Source organism: Homo sapiens, chromosome 10, assembly GCF_000001405.40.
Source record: "Homo sapiens chromosome 10, GRCh38.p14 Primary Assembly".
Lineage (NCBI taxonomy): Eukaryota > Metazoa > Chordata > Mammalia > Primates > Hominidae > Homo > Homo sapiens.
In genome coordinates, this window is record NC_000010.11 from 99,524,915 (window position 1) to 99,547,768 (window position 22,854).

The window sequence follows — 22,854 nt, forward strand, 5'->3', positions numbered from 1 at the left end:
AATCTTTAAGGCAGGCCTATAAAGTCCACACCATTATTATCTTCTTTTGTAAGTGAGAAAACAGCCATTTAACAAGGTTGAAAGACTGGCTCAAAGTCACAAGACTACAAAAACAGCAGGACTCCACACCTAGATCTGGTGGACTACAGGGCCAGTGCTCCAGCCCAAGACAGAGGCATGACTTATGATTATAACTTAGAGAAAGCAACATCTCCCTGGGCCCCATCCCAAACTCAACCTCCTCATCTATGGACTCTCCTTGCAGAGGAGGGTGTCACCGGGGCAACCTTTGCACATGAATGCTCAGGAGGTCTGTCTACAGCCATTCACATGCATGCTTACTGACTTACCAGTTGTGGGAGGTATAAGATATTCACATCTGCCTGTGTACATGCTCACTTATGTGGGGGCACAATACATACATATATATACATACAGGCCACCCTTCTACTATACTAATGTGGAGGGCATGACACATGGAGTTTTTAAAAGTCTAAATTTCAGAATATTTCAATGTAGTTTTATTACTTTCAACAACACACACAGTCATTACAATTCTGGTAATAAAATCTATTCCCTCTTCTCTGACTACAGCTTAGACAGGCCCTTATGGAACTACTTTGTACAAGACTAATTGTAATGATCCCATAAATTGCCTTATAGAAATAGTGCATCTGATAGTCATGGAACTTAATTTTCATCTTGGATCATATAAACATTTCTCTCCAAATCTCATGTCACTACCAGTAATTCACATTATTGTGGGGCGGGGTGGGTGGGGAAGGAGGGAGGGAATTTAGAATGAGTGTTGGCCAGCCTTGTGTTAATGACCACATGATCTGAAAGAGCAGAGCCCTAATGTGGAGTCTACATTTATGGGGAGTCCTGAGTGCCTTCTTCCCCATGCCCATCCACATGTGCACTCACTAATGTGTTTACACAGGAAAGCACTTTCCTCTTCATTCAAGGAGAAAGACATGTCTGTAGAAACATTTATATCATGTCTCTATCCACCTACTGGAAACCTATATTTCTCAGGAGATGAAACTGCCACCAATCTCAAAAGTATGGCTGCAGCTGGAAGGTAAAAGGTAGAGGGTGGCTGGCTGGCTGCCTGCCATGCATCTGGGGAGCCCAGCTCCCAGGGGAGAATGCATGAGACTTAGTCCCCTCTCAGGAGGCCAGTGACTCAGTGGCCCCCACTGGCCCCAGTTAGGGAAAAGGTAGGAGATTATTGGTGGACCCAGAGCAGCTAGAGTGCTCTGTCCTTGGCTGGTGTGAGAAGCCAGGGACCCCACTCTTTTCTCTTAGATTTGGCCCCTGCATTTTAAGGCAATCTCTGAAACACCTTCCAGTTGGGGTGATCTCAAGACAATACAACCCCCAGTCTAAAGTGGGACTGTTGGGAAAGAAAGGAAAGTCAGTTTGCTCTCACCTGTGTGTGGTGCAGTGGGGGTGGGTGTTCCTGGTCTGGGAGCCCCCATCTGCTCTCAGGGATGCCTGGGGCCCAGGCCTCATGGTCACCTCCAGCTCTGTTCTGGTTCTCTTCAGACTGCCACAATAGAAGGAAATGGAGAAGGATCTGCCTGGAGTGGGGATTTCCATGGGGAGGGCAGCCAAGCCTGCCACCTGGAGCCCCACAGACCAGCTAGGGCCCACTGCTGAGGCCATGGGGGAGTGGGGGCTTGGGAGGTGGGAGAGGTCTTACCAGTTGGAACAGGGCACAGAGTAGCTTCCCTTTCACAAGCCCAGGGATGCATGGGCATTTTCCTGAGCAGCCCTGAGGGTCAGAAGCAGAGGGGTGGGATAGGGGAAGGAATGTGAGGCTCAGGAGTGGAGTCTTGCTCAGTTAGTCTCACCCCACCTCGGCGAAGCCCTCCTGTGCTGCCCTGATTCCCTTCACATCAAACATCTGCAGGGGCCACAATCAAAAAGCCTGAGAGCATCAGAGTGGAGGGGGTAAGAAGGGAGAGAAAAGAGGGGAATGAAACAAGATGAGGGGAAGAGTGAGAAAATGGGCAGGAGGGAAACAGGTGGGGAGGAGTGGAAACAGTAAGAAAGGAAGCTGAGGAGATGGGGGAGGAGGTGAGGAAGAAAGGAAGTGGGGGAAGGGCAGAAGGGAAAAGGGGTGGCAGAGTAAAATGGGCTCCGTCAGAGAGGAAGGGGCTACGAGGGGAAAAAGGCTAGCAGTGAGGGAGAGGAGGAGGACTGCAGGCGGAAGAGCGCGCGCGTTTTAGGATCCCCGACTCAGAAGCTCTGCCTGGCCTCAGGATGTGGCGAGCCTCAAGAGGTAAGAAGGTCCTCGCCTCTGGCTGGCAGGAGTGCGGAGAGGTGGAGGGGAGTTCGAGAACGTAGAGGCAGGTTCAAGGACAAAGGCCCACCTTGTGCGGGCCAACCAAGTCTCCCTAGTCCTCTTCGCTAGGGCCCCAGGCCCTTGGCGGGCGGATGGAGAGAGATGCCCCAGGAAAAAGCCCAGCACTGCTAGGCCCTACGTGCACGGGCTTGGAGACGGGGCGCCAGTACCAGGCAGGGCACAATGAGGCTTGGGGCCCTTACAGTCGCTGCAACCTGGAGGTACCGAACCGGGGACTCCGACCTGACATGCAGGCGAGGCTGCGAGGTCCAGAGCCTGGACCTGGTTCCTAGGGAGCGCCACTCCTTCTGACCCCTGTGGCGTGCGTCCTGGCGCGCCGCACCCGCCTGGTGCCTCGGCCCTCTCTGCTGTTCCCTGGCTGATTCTGAGCAAGGCCAGCAGCCCACGGCCCCACCCGACCCCCACATCTCCGCAGGGTCAGGCGAGCCGAGCAGGAACTGCGCCGGGGCAGTGGTGATGGCTGGGCGTCCCTGCAGCTTCAGGGGCCAAGGGCAATCGGGGGGCTAGGCCCGCAGACCTGGCCGTCCGCTGACGCAGCGAAGGTCTAGCGGAACCTTGGGGATCGCTCTCCCAGTGCCGACCGAAGGCCCGGACCTCCAGGCTGGACGCGGCGAAGGCCGCATAAGACGTTACTTAAACATGTTACTTAAACAAGACTGCAGTAAACGTTTCTTTCCAAGTGAGAAAGGTCTTTTTCGTTCTCAGACGGTTTGAAGGTGTTTGTGCCAACGTGACCCCCGGGGAGATTTGGAGGAAGCTTTCTACGTCCTAGGAGGCTGAGATCCCACGGAGCCGGTTTACGGTTGAGAGCAGACAGTTTCGAGTAGATAGCGCTGGAAGAGACACGAAGAATCTCTCTTGCTTCTTGGAACGCGATAACCACATTTCTTTCTCTGTTACCCCACTACTAAAAATCAGCAATCCGCACAGAGCAGGCAGCCGCTTTGGTTCGAATGAATTAATTTGCCCAAGACAGCAGCCGCTCTTCTGAAGTCAGATTACATTTTTAAAAGTTTATACACATTGAAATTTCGCTACAGAAAGTTAAAAGCACGCTAGCAACAACAAAAAAAGTTAAGGAATGCATTCAGAATTCCAATTTAATCCTCAAGTTAAAACTGCTCACTGCACGCCCAAATAGCACACGCAAACAGTACAAATAAATGTCTGTATACAGGAGTCCTTTATTTAGGTGTTTTTCGTTTGAAAAAATATTGAATTGATTTTCATTCAACAAAGATACAGTCTTTTCGACATGTTTTATTAACAGAACTGGTTTTGGTAAAGAAAGGGTAATTTACCTTTTTATCTTTAAAATTTTTGGAGGGGCAGATCCACAAAGATAGCTGTGAAGTCCTCTCCCTGAGAAATCGAAAGTCACATTCTCAGCAAGGACCTGTAATTTACAAGGAACTATACAAATTACTGTATTCGGACTAATTTTCTCCCAGGAAAGAGAAATAGTGGTTAATTTAGAAAACTCAATTCCAAATAAAATCTAGGAAAATTTGGCATTCCTGCAAACACATGCAAAACAAACTAGTGCTTAAAACAGCATTTCAAAATCTCTTTTATGAAATTCCTTCGACAAGAAAAAAACCTCCCAAGAAATTAGAACAGTTTAATGCCTTCTAGGACTCACTAACCTAGTTGACATTAAAAGCACAAAATGTATTCACCCGTCTCGCAATTAAAATGCTATTGCTTCTGAATTGCTTTAAAAAAAATGGATAGCTTTCTAACATTCCTTAACAAAAAACCAAAGCAAAGCACACTTGCGCATACACACAAACACACACACCCACCACCACCACCGCCACCATCACTACCACCAACAAATTAACAAAAACCCATTTAGTGAGTCTCTCTCTCATAAGTTGACATTGAAAATGAAACTTCTAGGAGAGCAATTAAAAAAATGAAAAGATTCACCTGAAATGTTTTGGCTATCTGAGTTCATCACAGGATGATTTTTTCAGGCTTTAATAGAAAAATCTCTTCTGATTGTAGTGTTACATTGTTACATTTTGATTAGAAAGCCACGATAACTTTCAACTTGTTTGCAGCCTTGGTTACATAATTAAATGACAATTTGAAAAGTTGAGAGACAACGGGATAAGCAGTGGCATTTACAACTAAAATTATCCATTATCTGCCTATATTTATATGTGCATTAAGCAATCTTTGTGTAGACAATAACAGCTATGAGAACACTTAACAGTTTTCAAAAAATTGTCACATTTTTCATTTGATAATGCATTTATTGTAATGGCTAGCATGTGGTTTTCCTTAAAAAAAAAAAAAGGTACAGACGTTTAGGCATCTATACAGCACTTCCCCTTCAAGGACTTTGCCACCATTTACTGATGATCTTTAATCATAGGGTGGGGGAGAGAGCTTGTATAAATGTATGAGGTGATGAAAGGGTAGGAAGGCAGATACACTCGATTAAAATAAAATCAAACGCTTCCATGGATGCAGCCATACTTACTTTATCTGACAGTAATTAGCTAAACTGTCTGGAACGAAAACCTATTATTAGTAGAGCACAGCTCGAGGATTTCAAAGATCTACTTTTCAGACAAGAGAATGCAAATGCCCCAGAAGGCGATGGTAACTGGATAGGCGTTGGAACCAGATCCCACTCTGATAAGAGACTCCTGCGGAGCGACTGCTGCTGTACAACTACGGCTCTCGAGTTCTCCTCCTTTCAGGCCCGCGGCCGTCGAGGGTACAGGCTGCGCGCGCGGGAAAAGGAGGCCACCTAGATGAGATTGGCCTGGCGGGGATCCCTGCGGGGAAGCACGCCACTGGGGAACCAGACCAAGGGAGTCTGAACAATACTGAGGGGGTAGCTGGAGACAACCCAAACTCCTGCTCTGGGCATAAAACTCAGATCAACCTTAGGGATGCGGTAGCGGATAGAGGTTTTCCGCAGGCTGGAACAGCACTACACTGGGCTGGGTATGAGGAAAGGAAGCGGCGATAAGGTCTAGGCGCCGCCCGCTAGGCCCCTTCGCCTGGAAGTCCTCACAGGCCCTGGTGGCCTACTGAGGAGCAACCTGCCCAGGGTCCTCAAGAGACAACCGCTTAGGCCTGGCGCAAGGTACCTGGCCCGGGAGCGGCTGGGGCGGCGGAATTTGGGGTAGAGGGGCACCCGTGGGCCGGCTGGTGGGGAGGAGACAGCCCCCTGCATGAGCTCACAGAGGCGCCCTGGTGGGCTCCGGCGGCTGCAGAGCGTCTGTGGGCGTGTATTGGCGATCAGGCGCTGGAGGGGCGCTTTGTCCTGGTCGCAGTTTTAAGACCTGGATTGTTGGGCTAGATTTATGAAAGGCCTAGGAGCGAAGCGAGATGGGAAGCAAGGGAATGTAACAAGGAGAAATGCAGGCTTCGGTTGGAAACTGGGGAGAGAGAGATTGTTTCGATAGCCTTTCTCCTTTTCTTTTTCCAGAATCATGAAATCACCGAGGAGAAGAAAACTGGGGACTAGAAGAGAGCAGAAACATTTCCCCTGAGACAGTTTTGCCCCGGAGGTGGGGTGGGGAAGTGGCGCTGGAGCTCAGCTTCCTGCTTTTATGCTCGGCGGCCACCGTGATGCACACACACTCGAGGTCCGCCACCCCGCAGTGCCGTGCACCCCTCTGCCCCCACCTCGGAATTTTTGTGCCCGAGCGCTCGGGATCCACGGCAAAACCAGGCACATTCCTCCCTCTGCAGACTCACCGCCTGGTTTGTAGACACTGGTCTCCGCCTGGGGCGTCAATAGTTTCAGGATTTAAAGCAGAAAGACACCGGGCGCCCCTGTGGCTGAGGAATGGCGGTTCCAGCACAAGACCCTGCCCACAGAGGGTCTCTCCCTACTGCCTGCGGGCCGCCGCTACCCTAAGTACTCCGGGGCGCACGTGGCCCGCGCGGCATCCCAGCTCCCCGGGCGGACCCAGGGGCTGCCTCTCCACAACAGTTCCGCTCCCTTCTGCAGAGCCCCGCCTCTCCCACCTCCCGACAGGCTGTTCTTTCTCCCTTCAACCTTGGGCACCCACTCCTGTCGCCGTTGCGGGACCCGCGTGGCAGCCCTCCACCCTCGTACCCACTCCCAGCCGGTGTCTTATGCCGCTCGGAGGCAATGTCCACCGTCCCTGCACCTTTCACCTGCCCCTTCCAGGTGAGACGGGTCTCTTTCAGCTCCGCCATCCTGACCGCCAAAAAATGCTTGGATTGGCTGGGGCCGGATGAGGACAGCCACGGTTGAGCTGGAACCGTTCCCTATTTTTTTAAGGCCAGCGCTGCACACGGGTCTTTCTGTGGCCCTCAAAGCAGCGCCCGCTGCTCCTCACTGGGCTAGGCCTGGTAGCGAGCAAATGCCTATTGTGGGAGAAGATGGTCCCAGAGTTTCCAGCTCAGAGTTTCCAGAATCTGTGGGGGACTGTATAGACTCCCCCAGAAAACAACCAGGGCCTCATGAAGGTGCCAGAAGGCGTGTAGGTAGAGAAATTTTAAAAGCCTGTCGGAGAGGCAAGGCCTACATTCAGGCTCCTGATTTCAATAGGTGGAAAAGAAGGCTGCCAAGGCTGGGTCACCTCCCTTGTGAGGACAGATCCTGCTCTCAGTATGTGCCACACTCCAGCCACGCACCACCAATGCAGTCAACAAACACTGCTTGACCTCCCATACAGAAAAGCAGTCGTTGACACGTACTGAGCGCTTAACACGCGTGAGGCCGTGCACTAAGATTCTGGCATGTTTTGCCTCATTCAACCCTAGCAACAACCAAAAAAGGTATTACTGCCTTCGTTTTATAGACGAGAAAACAGACTTAGAAACGCCGAAGATCACACACTGACTAGGCCAAGCAAGAGCTGTCGAATACCAAAGTTTAGTCATAACTCTATCTTCCTTTCACATACTGCTCTGTGCGGCTGCTGCCAGGGATACAAGGGCAAAAGCAACCCCGGGACACTGCCCTCATGGAGCTTACAGTCTAACTGGGGCGACCAGGCAGGCACATACAGCTATAGAATTAAGTGGGAAGTGATAAGTGACATGCATGTCCTTTGCTAACACAAGCTGCAGGTTCAGAGCCTGAAAGAGGGGACTTCCGGCTAGACGATCTAGGAGCTCTTCCTTGGAGAACAGTTTCCACTCGTGGAGGCTAAGTGTCAGAAACATGTTCCAAGTGGAGAGAAAGCTTGAGCAAAGGCAACAAGTTGAAAAAGGACATGTCGCCCACCCATAGATAGATAAAACACTGCATCTCCTCGTGGATCCAGCGCCCAGTATTTACCCGCCAGGAAGTTTTCCTGCCCCGCGCAGCAGCTGAAAAAAACACACTCCTGGGGCATCCTTCCCTGGCGTTGGTTCGTGGACAGCAAGCCTCCCAGAACTGGCCTAGGTCGGGAAGGTGCAGCCACGCGGGAATCAATGGTTCAGGAACCGGATCTGTGCAGCCTCGCCCGCAGCGTCTCGGACTTCAGGACTCTATACTAGTCCTTGTCTATTTCTGGTAGAGCCGCAACATCCCACTCGCAGAGAGCAGGGGGCGTGGCCCACATGAGCCAGAACCTATAGGGAGGGAGGTTGGGGCGCCAGCCCCGCCCCCCCAACGTGACGCAAATCTCCCGGACAGAGGCTTAGGAGCCCGGGCCCCAGTCCCTGCAGTGGCTGTAACAAAACCCAGACCCCCAGGTCCCGGCCAATGGAGGCGATTTAGACTGGAGTGGGACCGCGTCTGTCAAAAGCCCGACTCGGCAGCAGCGGCGGAGTCCAGGAGGAGAGCTGGAGCCGCCGCGCTGCCTCCCCGCCCCCGCCGGGATTTATTATTTGGACTGGACAATTAAGTGGCCCTGATGATGTTACCAAGCCCGGTCACCTCCACCCCTTTCTCAGTCAAAGACATTTTGAATCTGGAGCAGCAGCACCAGCACTTCCATGGTGCGCACTTGCAGGCGGACTTGGAGCACCACTTCCACTCTGCGCCCTGCATGCTGGCCGCCGCTGAGGGGACGCAATTTTCTGACGGAGGGGAGGAGGACGAGGAAGACGAGGGCGAGAAATTGTCCTATTTGAACTCACTAGCCGCAGCAGACGGCCACGGGGATTCAGGGCTGTGTCCCCAGGGCTATGTCCACACGGTCCTGCGAGACTCGTGCAGCGAGCCCAAGGAACATGAAGAGGAGCCCGAGGTCGTGAGGGACCGGAGCCAAAGTGAGTAGAGGGGGAAAGAAAACGCACCCGCACACCTGGAGCAATGGCAGAGCGCACACAAACAGCCCACAGACCTTGCCAGCGCAGCTGCCCATCCCTTTACCCTTTGGCTGGGGCCATGCCTCCGCCCTGGTCACCGACAGCTCCACAAAGCGCAGGTACCTGCAAGGGAGCCGGGGTGGAGAGACAAGGACGAGGTGACCCTGACAACTACTCCCCCCAAAAGGGGGAAATGAGGGAAGGGAAGGTGGTTACTGCTGCCCTGATGCTGAGAGGCGACGTGGGCTCAGCGCCTGGGTCCTCATAACTGGCAGTATTTTTGCTCTTCCCCCCGCCCCAAAAGGCTCTTCCCCCAAAAAGGGCAGGAGCCTGGACCTTTTTCGTTTTCCCTCTAGGGTGAGATGAGTTCTCTTAGCCCAGGGCAGCCACCCCTTCTTCTCCGAAAAGACAGCCCAAGCAGCCTGTGTCTCTCGCACCCGCAGGGGCAGGAACTTTGGTGGAGGCCAGCTGGGCGGTTTCCTCCCTTCTCTGCTTGGAGCTCAGCGTCCTTGAACCCGTGGCACTCGGTAGAGAGAGAGGAGATGATCGGAAAGTGCGTGGGAACAATGTCTATTCCGCGCGACCATAGCTCTCACATCCCTAAGGCGCCAGCCTTTTTTGAAAATCCGTAACGTTTTGCTTTGTGTCCCAGGCTGCGGGCCTAATAGAAAACGCGCCGAACTTGAGTCCGAGATCTTGGCTGCTCACATCGGATGGGAAGTGAATTGATAGGGAGATGGGATAATCAAATAAAGTCCCCAAGGAAGTGTATTTAAGAGGACAGAATCACAGTCTTTCCCCAAGAGGCGGTTTGATGTGGCAGAGGCCAAGGCCTATGCTCTCATAGTTCCCAGAGCCGAAAATCGGCATGAAACTGTCTATAACTAGTCAATCAAACTTCATTTTCAAAGTGCACACAGATGTCGTCATAACATTCGCTTGTAGTCTTTTATAAGCCACACACACACACAAGTCCCTGAGCCATGCACAAGCGTTACACTCAGAACAGATTTTCGCGCAACCCATGCCCACCGGCCCACTCATACCAACACGCCTCACACCTTCAGTTATCCTTGGTGGAGTAGAATGCAAACGAGTTTGCAAATACTGTAGTTATTATGTAGTTGCAAGCCTTCATCCTGAAAATAGTCATTAGCACGTCGAGCCGCATATTTAATACAGAGTAATCTCTTCTCTCGCAGATGCTCAAGATCCAAATAAACACGCACTAACTACCCCTCTCCACGAAACGCGCCTCCGCCTGCTAAGGGCGTTCTTTGGGTACTGGGGCTGTCTCAGGGTCCCACAGCGCCAGGAGCCACAAACGTTCCCAAAAGTCCAGCCATTTACTACCGCACGCTCTGCGCAGCCACCAAAAAGGGTCACGGTGCTCCAGGACAGGAGCCGCGGTGCGGCCGGGAACAGCTAAGGACGCTGTTGTTTGCTTCTTCCGCAGAAAGCTGCCAGCTGAAGAAGTCTCTAGAGACGGCCGGAGACTGCAAGGCGGCGGAGGAGAGCGAGAGGCCGAAGCCACGCAGCCGCCGGAAGCCCCGGGTCCTCTTCTCGCAAGCCCAGGTCTTCGAGCTGGAACGCAGGTTCAAGCAGCAGCGGTACCTGTCGGCACCCGAGCGCGAGCACCTCGCCAGCAGCCTGAAGCTCACATCCACTCAGGTGAAAATCTGGTTCCAGAATCGCAGGTACAAGTGCAAGAGACAGCGGCAGGACAAGTCTCTGGAGCTTGGCGCACACGCGCCCCCGCCGCCGCCGCGCCGCGTGGCTGTCCCGGTGCTGGTGCGGGACGGCAAGCCGTGCGTCACGCCCAGCGCGCAGGCCTACGGCGCGCCCTACAGCGTGGGCGCCAGCGCCTACTCCTACAACAGCTTCCCCGCCTACGGCTATGGGAACTCGGCCGCGGCCGCCGCCGCCGCCGCCGCCGCCGCCGCAGCAGCGGCGGCCTACAGCAGCAGCTATGGCTGTGCGTACCCGGCGGGCGGCGGCGGCGGCGGCGGCGGGACCTCCGCGGCGACCACTGCCATGCAGCCCGCCTGCAGCGCGGCCGGAGGCGGCCCCTTTGTGAACGTGAGCAACCTAGGAGGCTTCGGCAGCGGCGGCAGCGCACAGCCGTTGCACCAGGGTACTGCAGCCGGGGCCGCGTGCGCTCAGGGCACCTTGCAGGGCATCCGGGCCTGGTAGGGACGGGGCGGGTCACGCGGCGGGCACCCCAGCGCAGCCTGGCGCCGCGGGACTGAAGCTCGAGAAGGGCCTGACCTAAAGGTCAGGTCCCCTCGTTAAAAAAATATGTACGTCTAGCTCCTCAGGGCTTCGGATCGCAGCTCACTCGAGGCCTGGGGAAGGGGACTCAGGGGCGAGGAGGATGACTGGGTCCGGTCGCCAGGACTGTCTCTGAGGCAGAAACGCCGGCTGGGCGCCGGGGAGGACGATGGCCCCGACCCTGGCAGCGAGAGGAGACCAGGAGGCTAGGACCCTGGCCGCGCTTGGTTCTTCCAAAGCGAGAAGGGCTTCTCTCCCTCTGCCTTTCCGCGGCCTCCGCGAAGCGTTGGCGGGGAGCCCAAGGACATAACAAATTAAAAGCATGAAGGAGAGAAAAATGGGGGTCGTGGCTTGAGAAATTCCAGGCCCTACCGATCCTCTGCCCCCTTTGCGGGCCTGGAGCGCCATAGCACAGTCGATTTCGTTTCGCAGCTGTCTCCCCTCCGCAGCAGATACCTCGGTCCAGATCTCCGGATTGTCGGGGGACGCAGGACTCTTCGAGGAAAACCAGCCGAATGAGATCAAAAGTTGGGGGTGGGGGGAGGCTGAACAAACTCAGGACCTGGTGGCCCACCGGAGGTGTTACCGGGTTTCCTTTCTGTTTCGTATTCTGTATTCAGCACATGTTATCTATCTATCTATCTATATAACTATAACCACACGCCGTGTAGACACCCGCTGCCACACACTACAGGAGTCAATAAACAAGGTGCAATATTTTCAAATCGTTGGCCGGCTACAGAATTTGTTTAGCCCCAAAGAGTGGAGAGGAATCCTTTAAATAGGGCGGGAAGGGGAGGAAAAGGTGCGAGGGGGAAAGCCATCCTCCCTGGGCGATCGCAGGCCTGGTCTCCCATGAGCCAGGCCCCAGGCTGCAAGTCTGATCTCTTCGGGGCTTTGTTCATTAATTTCTGTTTACTCTTGAGGGCTGGACAGGTCGAAGGCTCAGGGCCATTTGAAGTCCCTGGCTTTGCAGTTCCCCCTAAGTTTTACCCAGATGCTTGGACTAGCTGTATAGACCTGCGTTCGGTCAAGTCTTGCACTCTGCCCCACCTCGAGGGTCGCCAGGGAAAAGGAAGCCTCGCTCGCAGTCCCAGCTGTTGGCCGCGCGAAGGCGGCTCCTTCCCTGGCTGCAGCCAGGGCTACCAACGCGCCCGGGGGCGCTGCGCTGCGCCCCACTGCGGCCGAGCTCTCCCCCTTGGCCGCCCTCCCTTCTCCCCCGGCGGCCGCGGCTTTATGCGGCTCCTTGTCACTTGCGGAGAATGCCTGTGCGAGGCCTGTGCTGCCACACGGCCGATTGTGAGCGTGCCAAGGCGGGTGAATGGGGAGGCCTCAGAGCGCCGCGCCATTGTGGGGCCGGGCCTCGCTGAAAGGCGGCTCCGGGCCGGGAAGGTGCGGAAAGAATGGCTTTTTATTGGAGTCCCGAACAAAAGGTGTGGTAGGAAGGCGAGGTCCCCTGCGCGAACAAAAACCCCAGCGCGTCGGATTGACGTCCCCCCCGAGCTCCCCATTGCTTCTCAGAGCGGGGGCTTTGTGCAGCAGTCTGCTCAACAGAGGGACGGAGAAATGTGCGGGGGTTTTGTTCCCCACTTTTTGTGCTCTGGGGGAGGGGGCGGCAGGGGGACGGGGGCTGGGCGGGCAGCAGGGAGGGGCGCGCTGATTAGGCCGGGCCGGCCGGGGCGCTGAGACGTTCAGCGGGAGTCGGCGGCCTGAATGCTGGGTCATTATTGCTACAAGTTTAGCAATTTCTCCCTTACAGGAGGGGGTGGGGCTGCTAGGCTGTGGCGGGGCCGCCCGGCTGGGGAGCTGTAGAGACCCGAGGAGGAGGAAGAAAAAGAAGGAGGGAAGGGAGGGAGGGAGGCAGGCAGGCAAGGGAGCCCTCCGAAGCCCTCTGACCGCCCAGGATGCGACTTGGACACATCCGAAAGGGCCTAGCGGGAGGCTAGAGAAGCGGCACTTGGGGAGCGAAGACCTTCCCTCCCCTTGCCTCTCAGGCGGCAGAAAGACCCCAGAGCCGAGCGTGAGCCAGTGCACCAGACTGCTGGTCCCGCAGCAACTCGCGGCCGGGTCCCTCCTCTTTCACGTCGCCCCCGAACTGGGACACAGCCTCCCACCACCGTGATGCCCGAATCCCCTTCCCTACCGCGCTCCCTCTTCTGGAGCCGTTACCTTTCCATGGATTGCTTAGGCCAAGGGCTGGAGAGGAAATTCTTGGCTTGTTACTTGCTTCTCACAGCCTGCGGCTGCAGACTTTCATTCATTCATTCATCCATTCAACTAGGTATACTGAGCACCTACTATGTATTCACTTGTACTGTTGAGTTGCTGGGAACGGTGAAAAAAAAAGTGTCCCTAGATTGGTGGATTTTATTTTCAGGTGTGAAGGTGTGGGTGGAGGGAGGGTGAGACAATAAACAAATGCAAAAACAGAAGATGAATTCTAAAAAGGAAATAGAACCAAACGCTGGGAACGGAGGTCTTTTCAAGTAGGCGGTCGGGAAAGCCTGTTGAGATTACATTTAAGTCAATGCCTGAATGACAAAACGAAGTCATTCCAACAGTGCTTTGCTATCTCAGCCTCCATGCCTCAGCACATGCCCTCCCGTCCATCTGGAATGCCCTTCCACCCCCATTTTTCTGGTGAACTTTTGCCTCTCCTTCAAGGCCAAGCTTCTTTCCTGAACCACCTAAGTAGAGGTAATCACTCTCACATTTGTGCCACCAGAGTCTTAGGTACTTTCCAATATCATAACATGGTGTCATGCAAAGATTTATTTGTCTCTCTCTCTCCACAGGAGGTTGTGGAGGGCCAGGTTGGCATCTTTTCCCTCTGGGACAGGTACCACAGTAGGAGCTCATGGGGCCAGGAGGGTTGTGGGATGCCCTCTGGGCTCTGTCAGCACCTCTTCCCTGGTGCTTCATGGCTGCCTGAATTGCCTGGGTGCTGTTGAGCTGTGGCCTTGGCTGCTAGCTTCGAGGGAAATGTGGAACTGGAATCTTGCCTTCCCTGGGCCTAGTTCAGGACACTTGGCAACCCATCTCCAACCCAGCCGAAGGTCCCACCTCTTCTGTACCCCCTAATGCTGCCTAAGGACATCCCTGCCCACAATGTTGCACCTCGTCCTACAGCTCAATACCTAGAATAGGAGGGAGGCTAAGACCTTGGTGAAGACCTTGACCCCAGGGCACAAAATTTGGGGCCTGGGGAACACTAGGATGTGTAAGAAACCCAGGACCCGCGTCTGGGACCCAATTCGACTTCCCCTACATTCATTAGGTGCAGGGAATGGAAAGTCAGCAAGATCTGGGCAAGCACCCTGTGAGAGCTCACTCCCCCAGCACCTTCGCTCTTGGAACTGAAGTCTCTAGGAATAGCTGCCCTTGCTCCACTGGGGGTTTCCTAAGTAAGCAACTACTTTGCCTCCAATGCAGTCCCTTATCCTGCTGGGCCTTGGCCTCTCAGTGCTCCCAGCACCACACCCCCACTTTCCTTGCTGGGCTTCCTCTTGCCCTGCGTTGGTCTTCCTTCACTCTGCATTCCCTCTTGTTCTGGAAAAGTGGCTTGTGATCCTCACAGAGGAAACAGAACTGGTTCTGTGGATTGGCTTCCGCAAGTTTGCGTGTCTTGAGATACTTGAAGCCAGCCTAGACCAGCCCGCTCCCTACCCTGCTCCGGAGCCTGCAGTCTCCAGGTATAAATAGCTCCCACCACTTCACTGGAGGATTTCCCTACTGCTCCTTGCTGGGGTTCCTCCATCAGAGGTTGAAAACCCTTGACCAACGCAGGTACCTCTTCCTTGGGCTCCCTCTCCAGGGTAAAAGTTCCCCCTGACAGGACAAACTGCTGCTTCATTAAATTGTCCTGTGAGTCAGGAGGAATCAAAATCCAGGCAGGCCTTCTAATGACCCATGAGACTTGGGACAGGCCAAGTAAGTTGTTCCTCTGGGCTGTGGTTTTTGAGATCTATGGTAGAGAGAAGGGTGAACCATATGATTTCAGAGGTCACTTCAGGTTCAACCCTCCTGGGTTCCCTTGGATGAGTGTGTAACCCCTCCCCACCCAATAAGCTCAGGGTGGGTTGGCACCACTGAGGGAAGAAGTGGGATAGGTTTTAGATGGCTAGTACTTTTTCCTGCAAAGCCTGATCTTGAGGAGTTAAGAGGATGAACTCTGAAGTCAGACTGAGTCTATTCTATTCTCAGCAGCACCACAACCAGCAGTGGAAACTTTGAATAAGTTAGAAGTGCCCTGAACCTCAGTTTCTTCCTCTATAAAATGGGTATGCTTGTAGCACCTCTTTTTTTTTTTTTTGCCTACAGTAAAACATGCAAATAGTTAAGGATGCAACTCAGTGAATGTTTATATAGTAAACATTCGTGTATCAATCATTTTGGCTTTAAAAGTTAAATAAGATGATCAATCTCAATACCTAGGATATTGCGTCGACGTTCTAGGAAGATGTCTAGGACTCTATTCCGCCCTCGAGGCACTCCCAGGTCCCCGGGGTGAGGGGGGTGGAAACAGGGGGGTGGGAACAGGGGCGCGGGGGGGGTCGTGGGAAACAGGGCGGCACAAGGACCGAAAACCCCAGCTCCGCGGGCGCGTGTCACCACAGAGATCCGGCAGAGCCATTGCGGGTAAACCTGGGACAGGTGGCGCCCGGCGGGGTCTGCAGGGCTTTGATTTCGGCTGCATCTGGGACATTCGACAGAAGGGGAAGGTGGAAGGACGTTTCCTGGGGGAGGTTCGAGTCCTCTCTAGCCCACCACTGCAGGGAGGAAAGGGTAAGGAGTGGAAACCCGGCCCCTCTCCGCGGGGCTTCTCCCGGGCCCGCGCGCGCCGCCGGAGTGACTTGGGGCCGCGCCTCTGCCAGGGTGGGGCCGGGTGGGCAGGGGCTTCCCTGGAGACTCGCGCGGGAGACCGGGAGGTCCAAGGCCCCAGTCGCAGCCGCCCAGTTCCTCGCTTTCTGGTTCAGGACGCCAGTGGGGACTTCCCGGGCGCCTCCTCCCAACTCCAGGGGCCCGAGCCCTGGAAGGACTGTGATTTGTCCGCGACTGGAGAGAGTTCAGTGCAGTCTGGCCCCGCGCGAGAGGGAAGGATCCTTTCTAACCGCCCGGAGCAGCGCAGGTGCCACGGGGCGGGGCGCTCAGGGGCCGGCCGCTGCTTCCCAGGCGGGCCCGGGGCGGTCAGAGCCAGCTGGGCCGGGAGTGCCCCGGCGAGCCCCGGGAGAGCCTAGCCGACTCTGCAGGTGAGAGTCCAAACTGCAAGAGCCAGCAGTCCTGACGGTCGCGGAGGTAGGACGTCCTGGGTGGGGCTTAAGGGGCACGGGGAGGCCCCTGCAGGGAGTCCTGGGGAGGCGTCAGGGGGAGGGGGCACTGATCTCTAAACCACGTTTGCTTTGTTGAAAATATGCCCCCACCCCACCCCACCTAGATTGTAAGTAACAGATTAATAACAGCTGAGGTTTTCCAAAGGAGCGATTAGTAAACTTCTTATTGGAGTGGGAGATACATATAGAAAACCCCAAGCGTACGGCTCGCTCTATCTTTATAAACGGAACCCTTCCATGCTACCAACTCCCAGATGAAGAAGCAGAACATTATCAGTCCCCGGAAAGTACCCCCATGCTCTCTTCTTGTCACTACTACCTGGAGCCACTAAGGGTAACCACTGTCCTGGCTTCTAACAGCACAGGTTAGTTTTGCCCGTTTGGGAACTTTATCTAAATGGAATCATATAGATTGCACTCTTGTGCGCCTGCTTCATTCGTTCGTGAGATTTATCCATATGGCTGCATGTAGTTGTAGGTCGTTCATTTCAGTTACTTTAGAGTGTTCCACGGTGTGAATATACCACAATCAATGTATCCATTCTGCTGTTTATAGGTATTTGGATTGTTTCTAGTTTTTAGGCTGTTGTGAATAGCACCACTACGATATGCTAAAACAGCGTCCAATAGAACTTCCTGCGATGATAAAAAATGTTCTATATCTGTGTTGTCCAACATGGTAGCCATTAGTGACATGTGACTTTTGAGCACTTGAAATGTGACAGGTGTGACTGAGGAACTCAATTTTTAATTTTCTAAAATTGCAATTAATTTAAATGTAAATAGCTAATACGGCTAGAGCTACTCTATTGGACAGCACAGTTCTAGCTTGTCTTTTGGTGACCACAATACATATTTCTATTCAGTATATGCCTAGGAGTGCAATTGCTATTTTTTTTTTTTTTTTTTTTTTTTTTTTTTTTGAGACGGAGTCTTACTCACTCTGTCACCCAGGCTGGAGTGCAGTGGTGCAATCTTGGTTCACTGCAACCTCCGCCTCCCAGGTTCAAGTGATTCTCCTGCCTCTGCCTCCCGAGTAGCTGGGATTACAGGCTTGTGCCACCACACCCGGCTAATTTTTGTAATTTTAATAGAGACAGGGTTTCACCATGTTGGCCAGGCTGGTCTCGAACTCCTGACCTCAGGTGATCCGCCCACCTCAGCCTCCCAAAGTGCTGGGATTACAGGCGTGAGCCACTGCGCCCAGCTTGCTATGTCATAGACACAAATATTAGCCTTAATAGGGTCTGCCAAGCAGTTTTCTACAGTTGGTTAGACCAATTTACACTCCTACCAGTGTTGGCACCACATGCCCCAATACTTAGTATTTTTATTTCATTTCTCTTTCATTTTAGCCATTCTGGTGAGCAGGTAGTTAAAAGGCTTTTGTTCACTTTTGTGTAAGATTGTGAAATTGCCATTTAACCATAGTGAAGAAGAAGAAGATGATGGTGGTGGTTGGGGGTTTCTTGGAGGCTGAGAGAGGCCATGTGAGTCTAAAGCCCACCCTTTTCATGACTCCACCTTGCAGTCAGACCTCCCGCTCAGTCGCTTTCTCCCTTAGGAACTAGACCTAGGGCATCAGCAGGACTTGAGGGAAGGGCTGTGTGTTTGGAGGTTATCTATCTCCCATAGCTCTTGTTACTTTATGCCTTCTCAAAATCAGTGTCTGCTCTTCTTTTACTGCTACTTATTAGAATGCCTCACCAGCAGAGATGGTGAGCTTGCTTGGCAGGCTGCAACCAGGATAGAGAAGCCAGGTTTTGTTCTGGCCGCAGTTTTAGTTTGTGACTTGGCTTTACCATGTGTAAAACAGCATTAGCAATCCTTGGGGCTAGACACGATGGCTCACATCTATAATCTCAGCACTTTGAGAGGCTGAGGTGGGAGGATCACTTGAGGTCAGGTATTTGAGAGCAGCCTGGGCAACACAGTGAGACACTGTCTTTACTAAAAATAATAAAAAAACACTAGCTGGGTGCAGTGGTGCGTACCTATGGTCCCAGCTACTAGGCAGGCTGAGGCAGGAGGATTGATTGAGCCCAGGAGGTCGAGGCTGCAGTGAGCTATGGTCTCACCACTGCACTCCAGCCCGGGCGACAGGGTGAGATTGTCTCAAAAACAAAACAGGCTGGACACGGTGGCTCATACCTGTAATCTCAGCACTTTGGGAGGCCGAGGTGGAAGGATCATTTGAGGGAAGGATCATTTGAGGTCAGGAGTTCAAGACCAGCCTGACCAACATGGTGAAACCCCATCTCTACTAAAAATACACACACACACACACAAATTAGCCAGGCATGGTGGCACAGGCCTGTAGTCCCAGCTACTTGGGAGGCTGAGGCAGGAGAATCGCTTGAACCCAGGAGGCGGAGGTTGCAGTGAGCTGAGATCGCACGACTGCAGTCCGCCTGGGTGACCCAGAGAAACTGTCTCAAAACAAAAACAAAAACGAAACAAAAACACAAAACAACCCTTGGGTGTGCTTGCTGGGAACTAAAGCAAAGTCAACCCTGTGGAGGCAGCAGGGAGATTTCTTACTATGTGTCAGGCTGTGTGTGTGTGTGTGTGTGTGTGTGTGTATGTGTGTGTGTGTGTGTGTGTGTTGCTTTGTAGATATTCTCTTTAATCCTCAGAATAGCTATGTGAAGATTCCTTATTTACACATGAAGAAACTGAGGCTCAGAGAGATTAAGTCACTCTCCCCAAGTGCCACAGCAAGTAAACAGTAGCAATAACCTCAATAGGACTTTTCACCCAGTGCCACTAAGAACATTTCTGTTTTCTACCTCTCTCCTCTGGGTAAACTGACTAGTGCAGATTTTGAAATTCTGGATGAAATTAGACGCCCTATGCTACACCTCCTTTTGTATGGACCTAGGCTGACCACTGACCACCTATGTGTTGGAAATTAAGCAAAGCATTTGTTATGTTAAAATACCAGTGAAATTCACTTTGTGTGATACAATGAGTTCTTGGAAAGTTGTATGCAAAGGGCTTTTTGCCATGGGTAGGGAGAAAAATTGAGTACATTTAAACTTATCACTGGAGTTTGTTCTTTAAAAATATCCCAAGCTGAATTATTTTTTAAAGGGAAGGATTCCTTTGAAATATGAATAATAACCCAGAATTTCTTAAGTTGAGGGTTACAAGTAATTTTTAAAAAGTGAGGAACAACTCAAAATTATATGCAAGATTCATCAATATTTCATAGCTATTTCCTGGTTCATTGAGAAGGGTTATCTTGAAAGTTTCACTGGGGCCATCTTGAGAGTGAATTATCTGGGAGGTACGCAGATTTGTTCTCAATCCAGATAATGAGTAACTAGAAACCCATTGCCCCCATGGCTACTGGTGGATTCAGGCTCAGTATGGCTATATTTTACAGTCCTTGATCACTTGGTGAACCTCTCACAGAGGGGACTCAAGAGTCAAAGGATTATTATATTACATCACCTTTTGGGCCCCTTCCAGCCTTGAGAGTCTTTAAACTAAATTTGTTACATGCCTGTAGATTCAGCTGTACATTTCACCTAAGAATCACCAAAGTCTAACTCTTTTCTGATGCCCAGTTCTGCCTGCAGCATCCTAAGCAAGGCACTGTCCCATATCTCCTGGACACTACCCATAGGAGAACCACTCACCCCTCTACTCAATAAGTGTGAAAAAATTCTGTCTTATGTTCACATGGAATCTGCCTTCCTGCAACTTCCATCACTGGCAACTCCTGTTTTCACAGATGTCTACTTCTGCATGTCAACTCTTCACATATTTAAAAGTCAGCCATTGAATGCTGTGTAGACCCTCTCTTCTCCCAGTAAAATAACCTCGGTTTCTTTGACTATCCTCAGCCTCCTGGCCATTCCTCAGTAGATGTTCTCTAGCTCCCCTGTTTCTTCTGTGCCTGGGCTGTTCTGCTGTGTTCCTCAAGGGAGGGCCCCCCTTCCTAAGCCTTTAAACACATCTATCCATCCTCCCCCACTCTTCTGAGAAGGAAGGGGCCAGCTGGGAGGCTCTCCTCAAATTAAGTTTTTATTCCTTAGTCTTCAGAGGAATAAGTACCATTCTTCTCTCTACAAGTAATGTTTCCTTTTAAAGTCTAGATAAAAGCTTCTTTCCTATTTCTAGAAATAATGCTTCTGAGGCCAGGCATGGTGGCTCACACCTGTAATACCAACACTTTGGGAGGCTGAGGTGGGAGGATTGCTTGAGCCCAGGAGTTTGAGACCAGCCTGGGCAACATGGCCAAACCCTGTCTCTACAAAAAATACAAAAATTAGCCAGGCATGATGGTGCACACCAGTAGTCCCAGATACTAGGCAGACTGACGTGGGAGGATCACCTGAGCCTGGGGAGGTTGAGGCTGCAGTGAGCTGAGATGGTGCCACTGGATGACAGAGTGAGATCCTGTCTCGAGGAGGAAGAGGAGGGGGAGCAGTGGGAGGAGGGGGAGGCGGAAGAGGGAGGAAGAGAAGAAGAAAAGAAAAGAAAAGAAAAAGAAATAATTCTTCTAAATTTTGAGTTCTGAGGTCCTACCACCCTGCAATCTAATATTCTCTACCTTCCTTTCTCTCTCAAACATGTAGCCATCTCTCCATATTACCTTCTCTTAATACTGGTGCCTCTTTCTTAAATATCTTTCCTCCCTTTTTCTGTCAGTTTCTGCCTATTTTTTCACCAGCTCCTTCCCTCTCCCCCAGCCTAACTGATGTTTGCTTTCTAGGTGGTGGACACTGATGCCTGGTTGGAAGTTGCCTTTGTGGTCCTCTGGCTCAGTTCTTCCCAGACACCTGTGCCCACTTTCCAGCACTCCTGAGGAGTCATTGTTCTCAAAGAGTCACTCTTTGAGGTCAGCATTGGTCCAGTGGCTTCTCTTCAGGGTTGTCCTTTATTACTTCTCTTTAACATTTGGCATAATGACTTTTTTCCTGGAAAGTCTTCTCATAGTTTTGACACCACGTACTTGCCTGATTTCCTTGCACAAAGTATAGCTCCTCAGTCTTCCTTCTCCATTCCCACTTAAGGGAACCTTCCAAGGCTCAGTGGCTTTTCAACACTCTTTAGATCCTAAAGCTGGTCATTGTACAGTGTCAACTATCACTTTTATACTACGGGCCCCTGAATCTACAGCTTTGGCCTTGGTTTCCCTCTAATGTCATATTTCCAAATGCCTAGAGGATAATTCTACTTGTGCACCCCACTGTCATCTCAAGTTCATCACCACTCTCCAAAAGTACTCACATCTCAGCTTCGGCCAATGGCATGACCTGTCCTTGTTTTCTTCCCTTTGTTTGTTTGTTGAACCAATCAGTCAACAAATGATTTCCCCAAGAGTCTCTCTTCACTTAAAGCAGAAGGAAAGGGAGGACTAACGTTACTGAGCACCTAATGCTTTTCAGGTACTGGGCTTTCACCCTGACCCATTTCATACTAGAAACATTCTGAAAAGTAAGTGCCATTTTTCTCATGTTATGGATTAAGAAATCAAACTTTGAGAATGTTGAGACTTGTTCAATGACATCCAGCTCTAGAGTGACAGAATCAAGTTCAAATCAAGGTCTATCTGATTTTAAAGCCTAAGCACTTTACTGTAATAACCTCCTAACTTGCCCCCTTGGTGTGAGTATATAGTTGATAAACCCAGTCCTCATGCAGGCACTGATTTATTTTCCCCAGTGACTCTTACTTAAAGGTACCTATATTTTTTTCAACCACACTATGGCTCCTCGCTGTGCATAGGATCAAATATACACTCAGGCCACTAATGAACTCCTATTACTTTGCCTAGTCAACCAAATTTCCCACTTTTTTTTTATGATCTACACAATCTCCTTACCATCCTGCTCCCGCTAACCCTTTATTAACTATGCTCATTCCTGGGGAAACATCTCAGTTCTTCCAAAACTCCTCCGAACTTCAAGTCAAGTGCCTCTTAATGATGAAGTCTTTTCCAGCCAGCACAGCCCACAGTGATTGCACATTCTCTGAAGGTAGATGAAATAGTGACTGAATGCAGTGGCTCATATCTGTAATCCCAGCAGTTTGGGAGGCTGAGGCGGTGGATGGCTTGAGTACAGGAGTTCAAGACCAGCCTGGGCAGCATGGCAAAACCCCATCTCTACAAAAAAATACAAAAATTACCCAGGCATGGTGGCATGCACCTGTAGTCCCAGCTACTCAGGAAGCTGAGTTGGTAGCATCACCTAAGCCTGGGAGGTTAAAGCTGCAGTGAGTTATGATTGTGCCACTGCACTCCAGCCTGGGCAACAGAGTGAGACTCCATCTCTTAAAAAAAAAAAAAAAGTAGTCTTGTTTGTGGTCTCATTATTTCCATTCTCAATTAGAAAATAAGCTCCTTGAGGGCAAGGATCATGTTTTTTGCTTCCTTTGTATTACCCACAGAGATGGATATAAATGAAATAATTTAGGAAAAAAAGATTAGAAAAGTATAAAATGCAATATAAATGAAGCATATTTTTCTTAATATTGCTAATGTTATAAACATTGGGATAATTTATTGTCTGGTTGGAATTGTGTACAAGTTCAGCAAACAACAGTAACTTGAGGGATTTGATAAATAAAACAGGCCCAGAGTTCTTCTTCCTCCTTCTATTTAATCCTTAACAGCACTGTCTTGCC

General features: G+C 51.5%; 1 protein-coding gene and 1 long non-coding RNA gene across 3 annotated transcripts, besides 4 other annotated features; one reads left to right on the forward strand and one right to left on the reverse strand.

Annotated features, from left to right (window-relative positions):
- Nucleotides 1-1,435: 1,435 nt before the first annotated feature.
- Nucleotides 1,436-6,263, reverse strand: LINC01475 (long intergenic non-protein coding RNA 1475). Its single transcript, NR_120618.1, has 5 exons — nt 6,098-6,263; nt 3,676-3,770; nt 2,892-3,207; nt 1,709-1,780; nt 1,436-1,552 (listed from the first exon to the last, which is right to left on the reverse strand). It is a non-coding gene; the product is annotated as a long intergenic non-protein coding RNA 1475 (long non-coding RNA).
- Nucleotides 7,358-8,249: an enhancer, noted in NCBI's record as "H3K4me1 hESC enhancer chr10:101292029-101292920 (GRCh37/hg19 assembly coordinates)". NCBI's record gives its function as "activates a minimal SCP1, AML or CMV promoter by ChIP-STARR-seq in primed H9 embryonic stem cells {active_cell/tissue: H9 hESC(primed)}" and the evidence as "EXISTENCE:reporter gene assay evidence [ECO:0000049][PMID:30033119]".
- NKX2-3 (NK2 homeobox 3) lies at nt 8,028-11,610 on the forward strand. 2 transcript variants are annotated; one of them, NM_145285.3, is made up of 2 exons: nt 8,028-8,575; nt 10,071-11,610. In NM_145285.3, exons 1-2 carry the CDS (start codon nt 8,218-8,220, stop codon nt 10,805-10,807), a joined length of 1,095 nt encoding a protein of 364 aa, NP_660328.2. In that variant the 5' UTR covers nt 8,028-8,217; the 3' UTR covers nt 10,808-11,610. The 2 variants fall into 2 exon arrangements, with proteins under 2 accessions (NP_660328.2, XP_011537672.1); XM_011539370.2 differs by lacking the exon at nt 10,071-11,610 and adding an exon at nt 9,817-10,044.
- Nucleotides 10,391-10,540: a silencer, noted in NCBI's record as "silent region_2692". NCBI's record gives its function as "represses an Ori minimal core promoter by ATAC-STARR-seq in GM12878 lymphoblastoid cells {active_cell/tissue: GM12878}" and the evidence as "EXISTENCE:reporter gene assay evidence [ECO:0000049][PMID:35858748]".
- Nucleotides 12,116-12,195: a silencer, noted in NCBI's record as "silent region_2693". NCBI's record gives its function as "represses an Ori minimal core promoter by ATAC-STARR-seq in GM12878 lymphoblastoid cells {active_cell/tissue: GM12878}" and the evidence as "EXISTENCE:reporter gene assay evidence [ECO:0000049][PMID:35858748]".
- Nucleotides 15,238-15,946: an enhancer, noted in NCBI's record as "H3K4me1 hESC enhancer chr10:101299909-101300617 (GRCh37/hg19 assembly coordinates)". NCBI's record gives its function as "activates a minimal SCP1, AML or CMV promoter by ChIP-STARR-seq in naive H9 embryonic stem cells {active_cell/tissue: H9 hESC(naive)}" and the evidence as "EXISTENCE:reporter gene assay evidence [ECO:0000049][PMID:30033119]".

What these genes read in the sequence shown, in the direction of transcription:
- NKX2-3 (NM_145285.3), top strand. Translation starts at nt 8,218, where the DNA reads ATGATGTTACCAAGCCCGGTCACCTCCACCCCTTTCTCAGTCAAAGAC. An exon ending in CGTGAGGGACCGGAGCCAAA is followed by an intron (nt 8,576 to 10,070) that starts GTGAGTAGAGGG and finishes CTTCTTCCGCAG; the next exon opens with AAAGCTGCCAGCTGAAGAAG.